The sequence below is a fragment of the Homo sapiens genome, chromosome 17, assembly GCF_000001405.40.
Source record: "Homo sapiens chromosome 17, GRCh38.p14 Primary Assembly".
Taxonomy (NCBI): Eukaryota; Metazoa; Chordata; class Mammalia; order Primates; family Hominidae; genus Homo; species Homo sapiens.
In genome coordinates this window covers 41,581,392-41,600,744 of record NC_000017.11, presented here as the reverse complement: position 1 = coordinate 41,600,744, position 19,353 = coordinate 41,581,392, and the positions used below count along the sequence as shown (strand labels likewise).

Genomic DNA, 19,353 nt, shown 5'->3' with positions numbered 1-19,353 from the left:
AATAGCTGGGGGGAGGGCAGAGGCTAACCTGAAGCTGAACTTCCAGCGTGAACTTGGAGGGATCCTCCACCCGCCCCTGGTCTCTGTGAGTTTCATTTTCCTCATCCGTACATTTAGGGTATTAGTATTTATCTGAAGGAGTTCATTTGAGGAATAGAGGAGATAAAGGGTGGATAAAACACACAGTATGTACCCAATAAACATTTTTTGTTGCTTCCCTCTCCTGTTTGACAATTTTTAATGTTGCCCAACCCTTTATTGCCTGATTTGATTCTGGCAGCAAGGCTGCAGACAGGCAGCTGTGTTCTGCTTCCTAAAGATGAGCTGGAGCAAATGCCTTCTCCCTGCATGCTCCCTGCAAGGCCTCCTCGCTATCTCCACACACCTGACTCATCCCATTTTACAGGTGAGGAAATTGAGGCTCAGGGAGGCTGAGCGACTTACTCAAGGGTGCGTGACCAGTAGGTGGGGTGTCAGAATGCCCTGCACCCCCAACCCTGTGCCGCCTCTGCATAGATCTTCCCTGGTGAGAAGATCCCTGGTCTTGTTTGACTTGATCAGGCTTGCAGAGAAGGTGGGTGCTAGCAGTAGGCCAGTGAATTCAGTCCAAGTCCACTTAGAGGCTGTTCTGGGCCAGGTGTTGTGCTGGGTTTGGGGTGGGGGCAGGGTGGGGATTCAGTGATAAGTCAGGAGCCACCTTGGCCTTAAATAAGATACTTATTTACAGCACCTACACAGGCAATGGTGCTTTTTGTCCTCCTTCCCCTAGAGGTGCCTTTGATGTGTGAGGGGATGGGCAGTACCCCTACTGGCTGAGCTCTTTCTCAATAGCTGGGCCTTGGCTGACGCTTCCTCTCTCTCTCCTCCTCTTCTAGGTAAGTGGGTGGGGACTGGGCTGTGGACCTACAGAGGCTTAAACAGTGGCTGGTGTTTGCCCTATCTGCCCACATGGCCACAAGAATTGCAGCCTTAGTGAGTTCTCTACAGTGAGAATAACCACCCCCCACCCACCCCCAGGAGCAGATCTGCCTGGGCTTGAACCCCAGCCCCACTCCCTACCTGCCTTAGTGTTGCTCTGAGGATTAGAAGACATGATGAAGTTAAGACCTGGCCCCTGGTAAGTCCTCAATACATGTTAACTTTGGTGGAATGAGACTGTAAGAGGGTATGTTTTACCCCTAAGCTAGCTCAAGGTGATGACTGCTTAAACTGGTTCTGTTCTGTTCTACAGAACAAGAGACTTGACTCAGGGGTTTCATTGTCATACTTACCTTCTCTAACACCACCAGCACCACCATCACCACCCTCATCATCACCACTCCCACCACCATGACCACCACCACCATCACCACCATAATCATCACTATCATTACCACCACCACCACTACCAATATCCCCCCACCACCATCACCACCAACATTATCACTACCACTATCACCATCACAACCACCAACACCCCCACCACCACCATTACCACCCCCACCACCACCATTACCACCCCCACCATCACTATAATCACCACCATCACAATTATCACTACCACCATCACTACCATCACCACCACCATTACCACTACCATCACCACCATAATCACTGCCATTATTACCACCATCACCACCACCACCATCATCATCACCACCATTACCACTACCACCATCACTACCATTGCCACTACAATCACCAACACCACCACCAATACCATAATTACCATAATTACCACCATCACCACCACCACCACCACCACCATTATCCCTACCATCACCACCACAACCACTAGCACCACACCAATACCCCCACCACCATTACCCCCACCATTAACACTACCACCATCCCTACCATCACCACCATAATCACCACCACCACCACCAATACCATAATTACCATAATTACCACCATCACCACCACCATCACCACCGCCACCACCACCACCACCACCACCACCACCATTACCACTACCACTATCCCTACCATCACCACCACAATCACCAGCACCACACCAATACCCCCCACCACCATCACCCCCACCATTAACACTACTACCATCACCACCACCACCACCAACACCCCCACCACCGAAATCACCACCTCCCCACCACCATCACCAACATTATCACTACCACTATCCTTACCATCACCACCACAATCACCAGCACCACACCAATACCCCCACCACCATCATCCCCACCATCACCACCCCCACAGCCCCACCACCACCATCACTACCATCACCACTACCACCATCCCTACCATCACCACCACAATCACCAGCACCACACCAATACGCCCCACCACCATCACCCCCACCATCACCACTCGCCCCTGCACCACCACCACCACCACCACTGAAATCACCACCCCCACCACCACTACCACCACCACCACCACCACTGAAATCACCACCCCCACCACCACTACCACCACCACCACCATCACCACCACCATCACCACTACCACCATCACTGCCATCACCACCATAATCACTGCCATCATTACCACCATCACCACCCCCACCCCCACTACCACCACCACATCATCACCACCATTACCACTACCACCATCACCACCATGACCACCACAATCACCACCATCATTACCACCATCTCCATCTCCATCACCACCACCACCACCACCACCACCACTACCTCCAGTACCTCCAACACCCCCAGCACCATCATTTCCTTTCCCCCAATCACTCCTCCAGTTCTTTGAAGGGGGTGTTGCTCATATGGGTTAAGTTAGATGGGGAGTAACCAAAGTCTTGGGACACACAGACATCACTCAAGCTGGGACAGTCAAAGGACAGATGCACACTGAGTGCTGCAGTAGAACAGTCCTCGCTAGATGCTGACAGAGAGAACAACCAACAGAACACTGATGAGATAATTGAGATAACGAGGCAGCACAGACTTGGATACCCCCATGGGGCTCCCATGTGGCTCCCTGGGAGGCAGACAGTGCCTGGTCTGCCTTGTGAAGGCTGCACAGCCTCTGGATGCTGCCTCTGCTCCTGTCCACCTAGGCTGTCTCCCTGACCGTGGGGGCCCACCAACTCTTCTTCCCCTTCCCTCACCAATATCCTCCCCCAATCTGGTTTTCCCTCTTTCACTTTGTTTTATCCAGAAGCTTTCCCTTTGTCCCTCCTAGTCTCTTGCTTATGGCCTAAACCTCGAGGCTCATTGGCACGCTGGAGCTGGCTCATGCTGGCTCTTGAGAGCTGGACATTAAAATTTCAGGAATTTTGCAAGGTGATTGTTAAATATGGCCCTCATCAAAAATTAAATTATACGAACTTAAAATTAAATGAATTATATTGAGAACAAAGGTAATGCATACTGAAAACTCATTCCTTCCAAATTATTTTACTACATTGTACTAATATCTGTGCTCTTGAGGTACTTATGACCATTTTATCCATATGGTGGACATGCTATAAGGCAGTGAGCTACTGCACGTCTCTTCCCAACCCTGTGTTAAGTGACTCCCTGTTGGTTGCTTGAAATTGGCCACAGTGGGGGTATTTACAACACGAAAAAAATAAATGTTATAAATTGGGGCTTGATTTATTGTTTTATTGATTGTCTTTTTTTTTTTTTTTTTAAGATGGAGTCTCACTTTGCCACCCAGGCTGGAGTGCAGTGCTGTGGTCATGGCTCACTGCAGCCTTGACCTGCTGGGGCTTAAGCAATCCTTCCACCTCAGTCTTCTGAGTTGCTGGGACTACTGGTGTATGCCTCCATGCCTGGCTAATTATTTTATTTATTTATTTTTGTAGAGATGGTATCTCACTATGTTGCCCAGGCTTGTCTTGAACTCCTGGGCTCAAGTGATCCTCCTATCTCAGCCTCCCAAAGCGCTGGAATTACAGGTGTGAGCCACCATGCCCAGCCCTGAATTGCCTCTTTTAGAAGCTAATTCAAGCTGAGTTTCCGTTGCTTGCAACCAAAATGTGCCCATCAATATATCCTGTTACCTAATTCTTGATTTATTTTTCTTCTATCCTTGCTGGATATTTTTAGTTTTATTATAAATATGTCTTTTATCATAAGCCATCCATGCCCTCTTTTGGAACTGGGAGACAGAAATGGTCATTTTTTTGCAAATATTGCACTGACAACCAGGATGGCCTCATTGAAACCTGAGAGGCTGCTTCCCCATCCCCTCATTCCAGCCACAGAATGTGGGCCCTGCTGGAAGCTCCCAGGCCTTCTCCCCTCACACCTAAACCATCCGCTGACTCTTCCTCATCAGTTTCCAGGCCTGCCCTATTCCCACAGCCTCCACCCTGGCCAGGCCCTTGCAGACTCACCAGCCCATCACCTGGCCGGCTGACCTCAGCAGCTCCCAGCTCCTGCAACAGGAGCTCCAGTAACATCCTGGACTCTTCTCTGTTCTCTGCCTCAAGGTCTTTGGCTGAACCTTGACACCTGTTCTCCATTTGCATCCCCCACTCCCTTTGGTCTAACTTGGGCTTAATTTAAGTGAACTTTTACCAAACACTTCCTCTGTGCCCAGTACCATGCTGGCCACCTGCGCTGACTTACCCACTCCTCTCAATAATCCTGCCAGGCTGAACTGGTTCTATTCCTATTTGATGGAAAACCAAAGCTTGGACGGCTGCAATGGCCTGTCCAAGGTCACATGGCTCGTCAGTGATGGAGCCAAGACTTGAAAGCTGGTCTTTCTGATCGGGAGGCCCTGCTCCTTCCTTGATCCCATGCGGTATCCCGTCTGGGGGAGGGAGGTGGGGTGCAAGATGCTGAATCTGTTCCCACATCTCTGACTGTGGGAAATGACTCTTTCTATCCATGAGGCTAGAACTACTCGGCGACCCCTTCCCTTCCTCTTTCCCTTTCCCTCTGTCCTGCCGACCAGAGCTCAGGACTCCTGACACAGACATTCCGACTCCCAGGTGCTGACTCTCCCCGCAACTCACCACTGTGCTGGAGTTCCCACAGCCACGCCCTCTCCCCACTCCACCCTCCAGGGTTCTTCCTTCTTTCAAAACCTGAGTCAAAGCGCACCCTTTCCAAGAAAACTTCTGTGTGCTAATCCACCCCACCTTGTGGCTCCTGTGCTCCTGGCTCCCCTCAGCCTATGGCACAGGGAAAACTCTGGGCTCTGCAACCCTCCTCCATCAGACTGGACAGCCCACGGGCAAGGGTTGTGTCTCCTGCATCAGACCAGAGTAACACTGAGGACTGACTATGTGAAAAACACTTTGTGGCCCCCTAAGGCACTATGGGGAGGTATAATCAAGGGTGGGGGCACAGATCACAGAGGCAGTGGGAGGTCTGAGAGATGGGGAGAAAGCCAGGTGACCTGAGCTGATGGGGTGGGGCTTCCTGGGAGAGGAGAGGTCTGAGCCAACAACATCCCTTACCTGGATATGGCAAATTCTCCCTACTGGTCCCCCACACCACGGCAAAGTATGTTCTGCATGGAGACCAGGGTGGCCTTTGTGAAACATCCGACAGCATCACTCACCAGCTTAGGACCCTTCAGTGGCTCCAGTGTCATCAGGATAAAGTCTGAGCTTCCCAGCACCTTTATCACCACCTGGCCTAAGGCTCTCAGTTTCATCGGGCAGGCCCAGCCTTGAGCTGTGAACTCTAACAATACATAACTGCTTGCAGTTTCCATCAGACCAGTCTTTCACACGTCTGCACTTTGCCTGGGTGCTTCCTTGGGCAAATGGGATGTCTATCCTCACTTCCGCTGCTTGCTCAGCATCTACTCATCTTCAAGGTTCAGATCAGTTAAGAGCTCCTCTAGGATGCTGGCCCCCTCTGCCCCCAGCTGGGCTGGCTGTCCTTTCTCAGTGCCCCACCATCCTTCACCCACCTGCCTACCCACCATCCACCCACCTCCTGTTCATCCCTCTATCCTTTTACCCATTATTATTCCCTTCCTTCCATTCATCCATTCATCTACTTCCCTGTCTGATCACTCCCCAGCCGTTCATCCCTCCACTTTCCCTCGTTCTTCTCTTCCTTCCACTCATCTATCCATCTGTCCACCTGCCATCCATCCATCCATCCATCCGTCTATATGTCCATCCATCCATCCATCCATCCATCCCTCTTCTACATTCCCTTACCCTCTTCCCTTTCCCTTCCTCCTGCTCTCCCTCCTCCCTCCCTCTGTCCTCCTTCTGTCCTCCCTCCTCTTACTCTCCATCCTCCCTCCCTCTGTGCTTCCTTCCTTCATTGAGCACCTACTTTGTGCCACACAGTCTGCAGGAATCTGCATAAACCATATGTGGAACTGAGGCTTGGCCTTAAAGAACATGAGGGGTTTGGGTAGGAAGAGAGGACATATGTGGAAATTCAGGCAGAGATTGGAAATGGATGGAGATGTAGGGACCAGCAAGGGGACAGGCCTGTTGGGGAGGGGACCCAGTTTACAGTGGGGTCTCATGAGTGATGGGCTGGAGCATTTAAGCTGCATTTTGCCTGAACTGGGAGCTAGCGGCAGGGTTGTAAACTAATCTATTCCTTGCCTTTGGCCACCTGACTGTCTGCATTTTTAACAACCTGAACATGACTCTGGGGTGCAGGCACAGCCCTTTTCACCCCAGGCATATTCTTACCCTGCCTAGCTCAGAACCCTGGGTGACACTTCTGCTGTGTGACCTTGGACATGTTCCTTCCCCTGTCTGGGACTCACATTTTCTATCTGTAAAGTTAAGAGCCTGGTCTAGAGGCTGTTTTTGGCTCTGACTTTTGGGGGCTTTCTAGCAGCAGAGGACCTGTCATTAAAAAGTGAGGCTTGCAGCCAGCTGAGCTGGGGTGGAACCCTGACTGAGCAGGTGGCTTGCTGTGGGCCTTGGGGGAACTCCTCCACCTCTGAGCTTTCTTATTCTATGATATGGGCTGGCCAAGCTCTGTTGTCAGCCTTGTGGCACAGCTTGGAGGCTCAGACAAGGACACAGACACTGAAATGCTGGCTCAGCCCATCTCTTGTGTCAGCCCAGATGGGCAGGCTGGCCTGGGAAATCAGCAGGCGGCATAGCTGTCTGGGGAAAAGGGTATCCCGGGGCCTCGGGAGGTGCTCTAGGCTCCTGCTCTCTGGGGAAAAGGGGACCCTGGGGCCTCGGGAGGTGCTCTAGGCTCCTGCTCCCTTGTGCTGCAATCCTGCCTGCTAGCCGACTTATGGCCTCCAAGTAAGCCCTGCCCTTCTGGCAGCTGAGGCTTCTCCCTCCCCAGCCCACTGTCTCTGCAAGTGATAGCCCTGAGCTCTAGGAGCTTTACCCACTCTCCACACAGTTTTCTGAGGCTTGGCGGGGAGAGGGATGGGCAAGGTGAAGGGGGTGGGGCTCTGGGGGGGCTGCCTGGCCCTGCCCGCTTCACCTGTTTGGATTGGCACGGGGCTCCCCCATTCAGGGTGGTAGAGGGAGACTCACTAACCACAAGAGGCCCTGCCCTGGGCTCCTCCTTTACCCCACTACTTCTGGGGCAGTCTGGAGGGAGGGTCAGGTAATGCTGCTCACACAAAGGCTGCCTAGAAGTCCAGAGGTGGGGGTACTCCAGGGGAGGGTGCAGAGGGGCCGAGAGGAGAGGGAGGGGTGCAGGACTCTGCCAGGAGGAAAGGAGAAGCTCAGCCCCTGGCAGGTTCTGGGGGCCTGGGAATCACAATGGGGGCTCCAATTTGTTACTTGACTCTGGGCCTTTCTAGACTCAAGACTTCCCATCTGTGACATGAGAGGAACCAGATTCCCCACTTCTTTCCCCAGGGCTGGCGGGGGCCTAGCAAGGCTCTTGACAATCGTGAGAGAAATATGTGCTATTTCTCCACAATAATACGTTGTGAAGGGAAGCCGGCATGGGAGTGTCTCAGGGAAGGGGTCCCCAACTCCTGGGCCACAGACTCTACCAGCTGTGGCCTGTTAGGACCCGCACAGCAGGAGGTGAGCTGCTGGTGAGTGAGCATTGCAGCCTGAGCTCCACCTCCTGTTGCCTGAACTCCGCCTCCTGTCAGATCAGCAGTGGCATTAGATTCTCATAAGAGCATAAACCCTACCGTGAACTGTGCACGCGAGGGATCTAGGTTGTGCACTCCTCATGAGAATCTAACTAATGCCTGGTGATCTGAGGAGGAACAGTTTCATCCTGAAACCGTCCCCACCCCCGACCCCCTAGATCCAAGGAGAAATGGTCTTCCATGAAACCGGTCCCTGGTGCCAAAAAGGTTGCGGACTGCTGTCTTGGGGCACAGAGATCTCGGGTTTGAGGTGGCCCAGTTTGGTTTTGGGGGGGGACAACAGAGCAGGAAAGAGTTCTTTCTCTGGGCTTGGATCTCCCAAAGTCTCTCCTGCAGGCCACAGTCCCTCAAGGAGTTCCTTCAAATGAGGCTCTTAAACTCAGGTTGAGGTGAGCTCGTTCCCTCCACTGATGGAGGCAAAATTTAGTGGGTCAGATTTTAAGGAGAAACGTGATTTTTGCATAGTTTCTAAGTACCTTCTTCAAGGTATTTATTAATTTCAATGGGAGAAACAGAAACATGACAGTAGAGAAATCCAGCAGCACCACCTTAGCCAAGTGAACAAGGCTGACGGCGCCAGCGGTAAGTAAGACACACAACATATCTGTCCAACATGCCTGATGGTGCCAGCGGTAAGACACATGACATATCTGTCCAACATGCCTGACGGGATGCAACCTCATTTCTGTGGTTTTCTTGCCAAAGTGCATAACCTCAATGTGATCATGAGAAAACATCAGAAAAACCCAAACTGAGGGATATTCTGCAAAATAATTGATCACCCCAGTACTCTTCAAAAGTGTCAAGGTCATGAAAGGAAGAAAAGACTGAGGAGCTGTCATGGATAGGAGGAGACTAAGGAGACGTGATAGCTAAATGCAATGTGGAGACTGAAATTGGACCCCGCAGCAGAAATGGAACATGTGTGGAAAAACTGGTGGAAGTTCCAATAAAGCCTGCAGCTCATTAATAGTATTGTGTTGGCTGGGTGCAGTGGCTCATGCCTGTAATCTCAGCACTTTGGGAGGCCGAGGCGGGTGGATCACCTGAGGTCAGGAGTTTGGGACCAGCCAGGCCAACATGGCTCAACCCCGTCTCTACTAAAATTACAAAAAATTACCCGGGCTTCATGGTGAGCGCCTGTAGTCCTAGCTACTTGGGAGGCTGAGGCAGGAGAATCGCTTGATCCTGGGAGGCGGATGTTGCAGTGAGCCGAGATTGCACCACTGCACTCCAGCCTGGGCAACAAGAGCAAAACTCCATCTTGTGGGGGGAAAAAGTATTGTGTCAATGTTAATTTATGGTTTCAAAAATTGTATGATTCTTATGTAGTATGTTCACATTAGGGGAAGCTGGATGAAGGATACACAGGATACACAGGAACTCTCTGTCCTATTTTGTAACTTTTTCTTAAAGGCTAACATTATTTCATTTTTTTTTTTTTGGGAGACAGAGTCTTGCTCTGTTGCCCAGGCTGGAGTGCAGTGGTGCGATCTTGGGTCACTGCAATCTCTGCCTCCCAGGTTCAGTCAATTCTCCTGCCTCAGCTTCCCGAGTAGCTGAGATTACAGGCGCTTGCCATGACGCTCAGCTAACTTTTTGTATTTTTTAGTAGAGATGGGGTTTTGCCATGTTGGCCAGGCTGGTCTCAAACTCCTGGCCTCAAGTGATCTGCCATTTTGGCCTCCCAAAGTGCTGGGATTACAGGTGTGAGCCACTGTACCCAGCCAAGTCTAACATTATTTCAAAATAAACATTTTTTAAAAAAAGAAGCTGGGTGTGGTGGCTCATGCCTGTAATGCCAGCAGTTTGAGAGGCTGAGGTGGGAGAATCGTTTGAGCCCAAGAGTTTGAGACCAGCCTGGCAACATGGTGAGACCTTGTCTCTACAAAAAAGTAAAAACTCGCTGGGCATGGTGGCAGTCCTGGCTACTTGGGAAGCTGAGGTGGGAGGATCCCTTGGGCCCAGGAGATTGAGGCTGCAGTGAGCTGTGATCCCACCACTGCACTCCAGTCTGGGCAACAGAGGGAGACCCTGTGTAAAAAAAAAAAAAAAAAAAAAGTGGATGATGTCAAGTACGGACCCAAGACCTGAGAGTTCCGTGGCTCCCTGCCATCCAGTCCCTGGTGACTTGACGTGTCACGCTAAAGGCTGTTCCCAGAAGCCTTCCAGATTGGGCCGCCCCCACATCTCATCTCAACCATCTATCTCTCCACCCAGTTTTTACTATTGCTTTGCAAGGTGACAAGCACCCAGTCTGTTATGCGGTATAGTGGGTCAAATAGGGTTCCTCCAAATCGGGTCCACCTGGGACCTCAGAATGTGCCCTTATTTGGAAATAGGGGTTTTGCAGATGTAAGTAAGGTAAGGTTTGAGATGAGATCCTACTGGATTAGAGTGATTGCTAAATCCAATGAGTGTCCTACAAGAGACTGAAAAAGACAGAGATGAAGACTGTATGAAGATGAAGGCAGAGATAGGGCGACGCTGCCACAAGCCGAGGAACTCAGGGAGGCACCAGAAGCTGGAAGAGGCAAGGAAGGGCTCTTCCCCAGAGTCTTCAGAGGGAGTGTGGCCCTGCCAACACCTTGATTCAGGGCTTATGGTTTCCAGAATGTATTCCAGAGAGAATACATTTCTGTTGTTTTTTTTTGAGACGGAGTCTTGCTCTGTTGCCCACGCTGGAGTGCAGTGGCGTGATCTTGGCTCACTGCAACCTCTGCCTCCCGGATTCAAGTGATTCTTCTGCCTCAGCCTCTCGAGTAGTTGGGACTACAGGCACCTGCCACCACACCTGGCTAATTTTTGCATTTTTAGTAGAGATGGGGTTTCACCATATTGGCCAGGCTGGTCTTGAACTCCTGGCCTCAGGTGATCCACCTGCCTTGGCCTCCCAAAGTGCTGGGATTATATTCGTGAGCCACTGTGCCCAGCCAGTTGTTTTAAGCCATCAAATTTGTGGTAATTTGTTATGGCAGCCCTGGGAAACCAATCTTACTTGTCTGTGCTTTTCTTCCATTTGTTTGTATGTTAAGTAATGTTGATGTGCATTCCTGCTTCTCTTTCATGCTGGGACCTTCCTAAAGGCAGGGATCGTCTCTTCCAGTAGGCCATGCACTCCAAGGGCGGGGGCTGTCCTGAGGTTTCCTCCTTCCTTAGGATGCCATCTCCTGGTCCCCAGCACAGTCCTCAGCACACAGTGTGGGCTCTGGAGGTGCTGCCTGGCCCTGCCAGCTTCACCTGTTTGGATTGGCAGAGGGCTCCCCCATGCAGGGTGGTGCAGGGAGACTCACTAACCACAAGAGGTCCTGCCCGGGGCTCCTCCTTTACCCCCCTCCTTTTGGGGCAGGCTGGAGGGAGGGTCAGGTAATGGTGCTCACACAAAGTCTGCCTAGAAGTCCAGAGGTGGGGGGTACTCTGGGCCTCAGCAGTCAGGACTGACAACCCTTTAACCCCTGATGCCCCAGAAAATGCCCTCCCTTAAAATGTCTGAGTACCATGCTTCTTTGGCATCAGGGAGGGGAGGGGAGTGTGGTGTCCTCTAAGTCTGCTCCCTGCTTGGCTGGGTTGTTTGCAGCTCCTTGGTCACTGAGTCCTTGTCTGCAGGGGTTGGCCTCAGGCTCCAGGTTGGGTCACGGTTCTAAGACCGGGTGTGGGGGATCAGGCTTATATTCCATGCTAGGGTTCTGGTGTTGGTGCGTGGGGTTGGGGTGGGACTGCAGAAGTGCCTTTTAAGATTATGTGATTGACTGATCTGTCATTGGTTCCCTGCCATCTTTATCTTTTGGATTCCCCTCGGAGGAGGGGGAGGAAGGAGTTTCTTTTGGGTTTTATTGAATGAAATGAAAGGGAAAGTAGAGCTGTTCCTATGTCCCGGGCTCCGGAGCTTCTATTCCTGATCCCTGCATAAGAAGGAGACATGGTGGTGGTGGTGGTGGGTGGGGGTGGTGGGGCACAGAGGAAGCCGGTACTGGGCTCTGCACCCCATTCCCGCTCCCAGATCCCTCTGGACACAGCATTTTTCTCCAGTGAGCACAGCCTCCCCTTGCCCCACAGCCAACAGCAACATGCCTCCCAACAAAAGCATCTGTCCCTCAGCCAAAACCCCTGTTGCCTCTCTCTGGGGAAATTGTAGGGCTGGGCCAGGGTGGGGGGACCATTCTCTGCAGGGAGATTAGGAGTGTCTGTCAGGGGCGGGTGGAGCGGGGTGGGGCCCTGGCTTACTCACATCCTTGAGAGTCCTTTGCTGGCAGATTTGGGGAGCCCACAGCTCAGATGTCTGTCTCAGCATTGTCTTCCAAGCTCCTAGGCCACAGTAGTGGGGGGCTCCCTTCTCTGGCTTCTTCTTTGGTGACAGTCAAGGTGGGGTTGGGGGTGACAGAGGGTCCTGCTTCTCTTCTAGGAGCAGTTGATCCCAGGAAGAGCATTGGAGCCTCCAGCAGGGGCTGTTGGGGCCTGTCTGAGGAGATAGGATGCGTCAGGCAGCCCCAGACACGATCACATTCCTCTCAACATGCCTGCCGGGGTCTGTGGAGCCTAGGGGCTGATGGGAGGGTGGGGTGGGGGCCGGAAGGGTTTGCTTTGGGAGGTTGTCTGGGAGATTGCTGAAGTTTTGATATACACACCTCCAAAGCAGGACCAAGTGGACTCCTAGAAATGTCCCCTGACCCTTGGGGCTTCAGGAGTCAGGGACCCTCGTGTCCACCTCAGCCTTGCCCTTGGCACAGCCCAGCTCCACTCCAGCCTCTACTCCTCCCCAGAACATCTCCTGGGCCAGTTCCACAAGGGGCTCAAACGAGGGCGCCTGAGCTGCCCACACTAGGGATGTTCTGGGGGTCTGAGAAGATATCTGGGGCTGGAAGAATAAAAGGCCCCCCTAGGCCTGTTCCTGGATGCAGCTCCAGCCACTTTGGGGCTAAGCCTGGGCTATAACAATGCCAACGAGGCTTCTTGCCATACTCGGTTTACAAAACCCTTTCACATACATTGTCGCATTGGATTCTCAGAGCTGACTGCACTAAGCAGAATAGATGGTATGACTCCCACTTTGCAGATGAGAACACTGAGGCTCAGAGAAGTGCCAAGCCCTGGGTCACAGAGGCGTAAATGGCAGAGCCAGGACCCACCTGACTCCAGGCTGTTTCCTGGCCTCCATGAGGCCACCTGCCCTATGGTGTGGTGGATGTGAGATCCTCACCATAGGGAGGAGATTAGGGTCTGTGCTCAGGGCTGGGGAGAGCTGCCTGGATTTCTCTTTGATGGGGATGTTGGGGTGGGAACCACGATACACCTGACTAGCTGGGTGTATTTCAGGGATGGGACAGACTTCTCAGCACAGCATGGGAGGTCAGGCCTGGGAGGGCCCCCCAGACCTCCTTGTCTCTAATAGAGGGTCATGGTGAGGGAGGCCTGTCTGTGCCCAAGGTGACCTTGCCATGCCGGTGCTTTCCAGCCGGGTATCCATCCCCTGCAGCAGCAGGCTTCCTCTACGTGGATGTTAAAGGCCCATTCAGTTCATGGAGAGCTAGCAGGTAACTAGGTTTAAGGTGCAGAGGCCCTGCTCTCTGTCACCCTGGCTAAGCCCAGTGCGCGGGTTCCTGAGGGCTGGGACTCCCAGGGTCCGATGGGAAAGTGTAGCCTGCAGGCCCACACCTCCCCCTGTGAATCACGCCTGGCGGGACAAGAAAGCCCAAAACACTCCAAACAATGAGTTTCCAGTAAAATATGACAGACATGATGAGGCGGATGAGAGGAGGGACCTGGCTGGGAGTTGGCGCTAGCCTGTGGGTGATGAAAGCCAAGGGGAATGGAAAGTGCCAGACCCGCCCCCTACCCACGAGTATAAAGCACTCGCATCCCTTTCCAATTTACCCGAGCACCTTCTCTTCACTCAGCCAACTGCTCGCTCGCTCACCTCCCTCCTCTGCACCATGACCACCTGCAGCCGCCAGTTCACCTCCTCCAGCTCCATGAAGGGCTCCTGCGGCATCGGGGGCGGCATCGGGGGCGGCTCCAGCCGCATCTCCTCCGTCCTGGCCGGAGGGTCCTGCCGCGCCCCCAGCACCTACGGGGGCGGCCTGTCTGTCTCATCCTCCCGCTTCTCCTCTGGGGGAGCCTGCGGGCTGGGGGGCGGCTATGGCGGTGGCTTCAGCAGCAGCAGCAGCAGCTTTGGTAGTGGCTTTGGGGGAGGATATGGTGGTGGCCTTGGTGCTGGCTTGGGTGGTGGCTTTGGTGGTGGCTTTGCTGGTGGTGATGGGCTTCTGGTGGGCAGTGAGAAGGTGACCATGCAGAACCTCAATGACCGCCTGGCCTCCTACCTGGACAAGGTGCGTGCTCTGGAGGAGGCCAACGCCGACCTGGAAGTGAAGATCCGTGACTGGTACCAGAGGCAGCGGCCTGCTGAGATCAAAGACTACAGTCCCTACTTCAAGACCATTGAGGACCTGAGGAACAAGGTGGGTGAATGGGCAGCAGAAGGCACCATTCCAGCTAGCTCCTTCTGGGAACAATTCATGCCCCAGGCCCCTGAGACCTTAAGATTTCTCTATAGGACAGAGTCCACCCCAGATCCCTTCTTTCGAGGTCTTGGATGCCCTAAGACTGATCAGTGAGAAGATGCTTTCCCTTCCCCAGCCTCCTCATCCCCTTCTGATCTCAAATCCTCAGACCATGTGAGATCAGTGATTCCTATCCTTACATTTTTTAGAGGAAGCAGTTGAAGCTTCGAGAGGTGCTGTGACCAGCTGCAGGTCACATAGCAAATTAATGGCAGAGCCAAGGCTGGGGCCCTTGTGCCCTACCTTCCAGCACAGGAGGCAGCTACTTGTTCTCCAGCACAGGGGAGGAGTGAGGCTCTAACGGGACCAGGCAAGACATCCAAACCACTCATTAGCTCACTAGTCTGGGCTGTGGCTGCCGCCGCCCATAAGCCTTGGTACAGGCTGGTCCCTCCCCACAGCCAGGCGGGCATGGAGAGCCTGCAGAGACAATTAGTGTGGTCCCTTGATGTGCCCTGCACAGAGAGAGCCTGGCAGGCTTGTGCCCTGACTCTAGCCCCCTCCTCCCTGCTCCCACATTACTTGGGAGCCCTCCCTGCTGGAGTCTGTTGGGCTCTAATGACTTGCATGGATTAGGGAAATTCAATGATGAGGTGGGGAAATCCAACCAGACTCAGGGGCCAATATATCTTCTTATTCTTCCCCTGAGTCCTCTTTTCTAATCCCCTGTGTTAGTTGGGTTTTATCTCTTGAGAAAGTTCCACTTGAAGTCCCATGGCCTGTGAGCTTGAAAAGGAATGTGCATATCTGCAGAGGACTGGCAGGGCTGGCTGATGCAGACAGAAGAGAGGTCAGCTCAGGAAGGAGGGCTAGGGAGCCTCAGATTATTCTCCTCACCTGGAGGTGGGGAACTTGAAGCCCCAAGACCCATTAGGTTTTGCAGCAAGACACTGGCAGAATTGGGACCAGAACTCCTGGGCTTTCGATTCTAAGCCCGGGGCTGCATCTACCCCCTCTGTTGACCATGAGTTAGCAAAGTCTTAGGACAGGCCTGGGGCATCTGTTTTCCTTTGGGCTGCTATGGTCAAGTTTTGTGGGGGAAAAGGGGGATTCAGGCAAGAACATGAAGCAAGAGCTTAATGTAGGCTACAGTGAAGTCCAGCTTGTGAAGTCCATTTGACAAATTACCTGTGCCTTTTCCATCCTGCAGATTCTCACAGCCACAGTGGACAATGCCAATGTCCTTCTGCAGATTGACAATGCCCGTCTGGCCGCGGATGACTTCCGCACCAAGTGAGTTTGAAATGGTGGGCCAGAACATCCAGTGTCCCCAGAGTAGGGCATTTTTGGAGCAGTGTTTCCCAAATAGAACTAGCCAGTACCAGGATAGGTGCATGAAAACTCCCTGGGGTGCTTATAAAAGAATAAGACTCTTGGGCCCCACCCTTGGAGTTTTGATTCAGCTATTTATAGCAGGTTACCTGGGTGATTCTGGTCCACAGCCAGGTTTCAGAACCGCTGCTTTAGGGAGAGGCACTTTCCACTTCCCCAGCTGCCCTTGAAGTATAGGAAGGAATCATAGTTGGAGGACTTCTGCATTATTTGTTGGCTGAAGCTAGAAGTGCAACCCCCTCCTGATTTCTGCAGCAAGATGAACTGCCTTATCCCCAGCCCGCAGGAATGTTCATATCTGAGCAATCAATGGGCACTGTGTTCAACCACGCCATTTTCAAGATTGGCTCCTTAAACCACCCACAAGGCACCAGCTCTGGGAGAAGCTGCAGGGAGAAGAGAACAAAGCCCTCGCTGTGATCAGGATGGGTGTCTCATACCTTTTCTCTGGGGTCATTCCAGGTATGAGACAGAGTTGAACCTGCGCATGAGTGTGGAAGCCGACATCAATGGCCTGCGCAGGGTGCTGGACGAACTGACCCTGGCCAGAGCTGACCTGGAGATGCAGATTGAGAGCCTGAAGGAGGAGCTGGCCTACCTGAAGAAGAACCACGAGGAGGTGAGAACTATATGGAAAAGTCAGCTTAAAAGAAATGCAGGGAGGCTGGGTACAGTGGTGCGTGCCCATAGTCCCAGCTACTTGGGAGGCTGAGACAGGAGGATCACTTGAACACAGGAGTTTGAGTCCAGCCTGGGCAACAAGGCTAGACCCTGTCCAAAAAAAAAAAAAAAAAAAAAAAAAAAAAGAGAGAGAGAGAGAGAGATTGAGAGAGAGAGAGAGAAGGGAGAGTCGAGATAGAATTGTGATGGTGGGAGGGCAGTATTCAGGCCTAAGGAACACCAATCCGCTGCCATGGTGGAACTCCTGACTGTGGACTGTCCCTGGCTGTGCAGGAGATGAATGCCCTGAGAGGCCAGGTGGGTGGAGATGTCAATGTGGAGATGGACGCTGCACCTGGCGTGGACCTGAGCCGCATTCTGAACGAGATGCGTGACCAGTATGAGAAGATGGCAGAGAAGAACCGCAAGGATGCCGAGGAATGGTTCTTCACCAAGGTGGGTGTCATTTGAGGTGGAAGGAACCCAGACCACCTGCCTTCTGGGGCCTTCTGGTGTGAATGGCATTCTCTTTTTTGCAGACAGAGGAGCTGAACCGCGAGGTGGCCACCAACAGCGAGCTGGTGCAGAGCGGCAAGAGCGAGATCTCGGAGCTCCGGCGCACCATGCAGAACCTGGAGATTGAGCTGCAGTCCCAGCTCAGCATGGTAGGAATAGTGCCAGGAAGGGTGGTGCACCCAGGACTGGCAGGGAGAGAACGGCCACACTCACTAATCGTTGATTCCCTTTCCCTCCCTCACAGAAAGCATCCCTGGAGAACAGCCTGGAGGAGACCAAAGGTCGCTACTGCATGCAGCTGGCCCAGATCCAGGAGATGATTGGCAGCGTGGAGGAGCAGCTGGCCCAGCTCCGCTGCGAGATGGAGCAGCAGAACCAGGAGTACAAGATCCTGCTGGACGTGAAGACGCGGCTGGAGCAGGAGATCGCCACCTACCGCCGCCTGCTGGAGGGCGAGGACGCCCAGTGAGTCTTGGCCCTCCCCTTAGTCCGCCCCCCCCATGGCACTCTCACGGCCCCACCATGTATCTAATGATCCTGTCCTTTTCTATTTTCACAGCCTCTCCTCCTCCCAGTTCTCCTCTGGATCGCAGTCATCCAGAGATGGTAAGACCCTCCTCCTCTGCAGGCCTGGGCTCCAGGCCACCCTCTGTACCCCAAGCAGGTCTAGGCATTGGCTAGGGGCTCCGTGAGGGGCTGAGCTCTAGTGCTGTCACCCAGTTTCCCTTGTGAACCTCCTTGGGTGGAAGAAGCTATTTTCTAAACCCTCCTTAGGGCTAGGAGAGGCAGCCCCCACCTCTTGCTTCTACGTGGTGTCTGTGGCAGATCCTATTGCTGTTGTGGTCAGCACCATGAACAGGGCCCTACAGGGCTCTTCCCACTGAGACCACTCCATTGGGTGAATATGGATGGAACCAGCCAGGTGTGAGCTCTTAGGAAGCTCTAATCTGAGGGCAAAGACTCTGTCTCTGACCTTTGGGAGCCCTCGTCTGAAAGAAATGTGTTGATGGTATCAGTGCTTGGGCAACAGCAGGGAGTGAAGCAGTAATCAGGGGAGAGGGCAATGGGGAGCCAGTTTGAGTTTCCTCACCTTCTTGGCCTCCTTACTCCTGATTAGTCCATTGTCTGTCCACCTCTGGTAACGTCCTCTTCCCACCTCTTCCCCAGTGACCTCCTCCAGCCGCCAAATCCGCACCAAGGTCATGGATGTGCACGATGGCAAGGTGGTGTCCACCCACGAGCAGGTCCTTCGCACCAAGAACTGAGGCTGCCCAGCCCCGCTCAGGCCTAGGAGGCCCCCCGTGTGGACACAGATCCCACTGGAAGATCCCCTCTCCTGCCCAAGCACTTCACAGCTGGACCCTGCTTCACCCTCACCCCCTCCTGGCAATCAATACAGCTTCATTATCTGAGTTGCATAATTCTCGCCTCTCTCTGGTCATTGTTAGGAGTGGGGGTGGGGAGAAAGTGGGAGAAGCATCTCTTTGGAGCTTGTCATAGCACCTGGCTATGGCCCCTGGGACTGGGAGAAAAGTCCTGGGGGTGGGTTGGGCTCAGGTCCCAGGATATCTTTCGCCATCTCAGAAGACACAGATAGATGTGTGTACCAGGTCATATGTGGTGTCTCCTAGGGTACGGAGGGATATTCATTCATTTACTCACTCATTTTCATGTGTGTCCATTCATTCACCAGATATTGAGTGCCTCTATGTCAGGCACTATGTTAGGTTAAGGATTCCTGATGTTTTTGTGATCAGGGATTCCTTGGAGAATATTGAAAGCTATAGATCTTTCCTTCTGCCCCCTACCTTCAAATAAGCATACATACATTTGCATACAATGTCATGGGGTTCATGGGTCTCCTAGAGCTCCTTACCGGAGGTCCATGAACCGAAGTAGGAACTCAAGCTCTCCTGACAGTCTTGTCTCCCTCCACCCCACCTGCTCTTGCCTCTGGTGCTGGATCTAATCCTTCTTACACTTGGTTAACCTAGGGCAAGTTGATGACCAGCTCCCAGCCTCAGCTGCCATTTCTGTAAAAGGGGCATAATGATAGTATCTACCTCATGGGCTTGTTGGGAGAATTCACTGGAAGAATGCATTTAAGGCCTCCAGCACAGGGCCTGGCATAGTGCTGGCTCAAGGCATGGCTGTGCTGGCGATACTGGGTAAACTATCTCTAGGGCATGGTGATTATCCATTCACGATGAGAGCATTTTTAGAGGGTTTGAGAATAGACTGGTTTCTAACCCTGGCTCTGTTCTGTAACAGATGTGAGCTTGGAAAGTCTGAGTCTCAGTGTCTTTAC

The 19,353-nt window shown here is 52.8% G+C and overlaps 1 protein-coding gene and 1 long non-coding RNA gene across 2 annotated transcripts, besides 2 other annotated features; one reads left to right on the top strand and one right to left on the bottom strand.

Moving 5' to 3' along the window:
- LOC124904003 (uncharacterized) lies at positions 11,794–12,398 on the bottom strand. The gene is made up of 2 exons (XR_007065755.1): positions 12,209–12,398; positions 11,794–11,882 (listed from the first exon to the last, which is right to left on the bottom strand). It is a non-coding gene; the product is annotated as an uncharacterized LOC124904003 (long non-coding RNA).
- On the top strand, positions 13,850–18,466 carry KRT14 (keratin 14). The gene is made up of 8 exons (NM_000526.5): positions 13,850–14,435; positions 15,688–15,770; positions 16,332–16,488; positions 16,824–16,985; positions 17,069–17,194; positions 17,290–17,510; positions 17,605–17,651; positions 18,213–18,466. The coding sequence occupies exons 1-8, from the start codon at positions 13,911–13,913 to the stop codon at positions 18,308–18,310; spliced, it is 1,419 nt and encodes a 472-aa protein (NP_000517.3). The 5' UTR covers positions 13,850–13,910; the 3' UTR covers positions 18,311–18,466.
- Positions 14,947–15,448: an enhancer, noted in NCBI's record as "H3K4me1 hESC enhancer chr17:39741549-39742050 (GRCh37/hg19 assembly coordinates)". NCBI's record gives its function as "activates a minimal SCP1, AML or CMV promoter by ChIP-STARR-seq in primed H9 embryonic stem cells {active_cell/tissue: H9 hESC(primed)}" and the evidence as "EXISTENCE:reporter gene assay evidence [ECO:0000049][PMID:30033119]".
- Positions 16,514–17,014: an enhancer, noted in NCBI's record as "H3K4me1 hESC enhancer chr17:39739983-39740483 (GRCh37/hg19 assembly coordinates)". NCBI's record gives its function as "activates a minimal SCP1, AML or CMV promoter by ChIP-STARR-seq in naive H9 embryonic stem cells {active_cell/tissue: H9 hESC(naive)}" and the evidence as "EXISTENCE:reporter gene assay evidence [ECO:0000049][PMID:30033119]".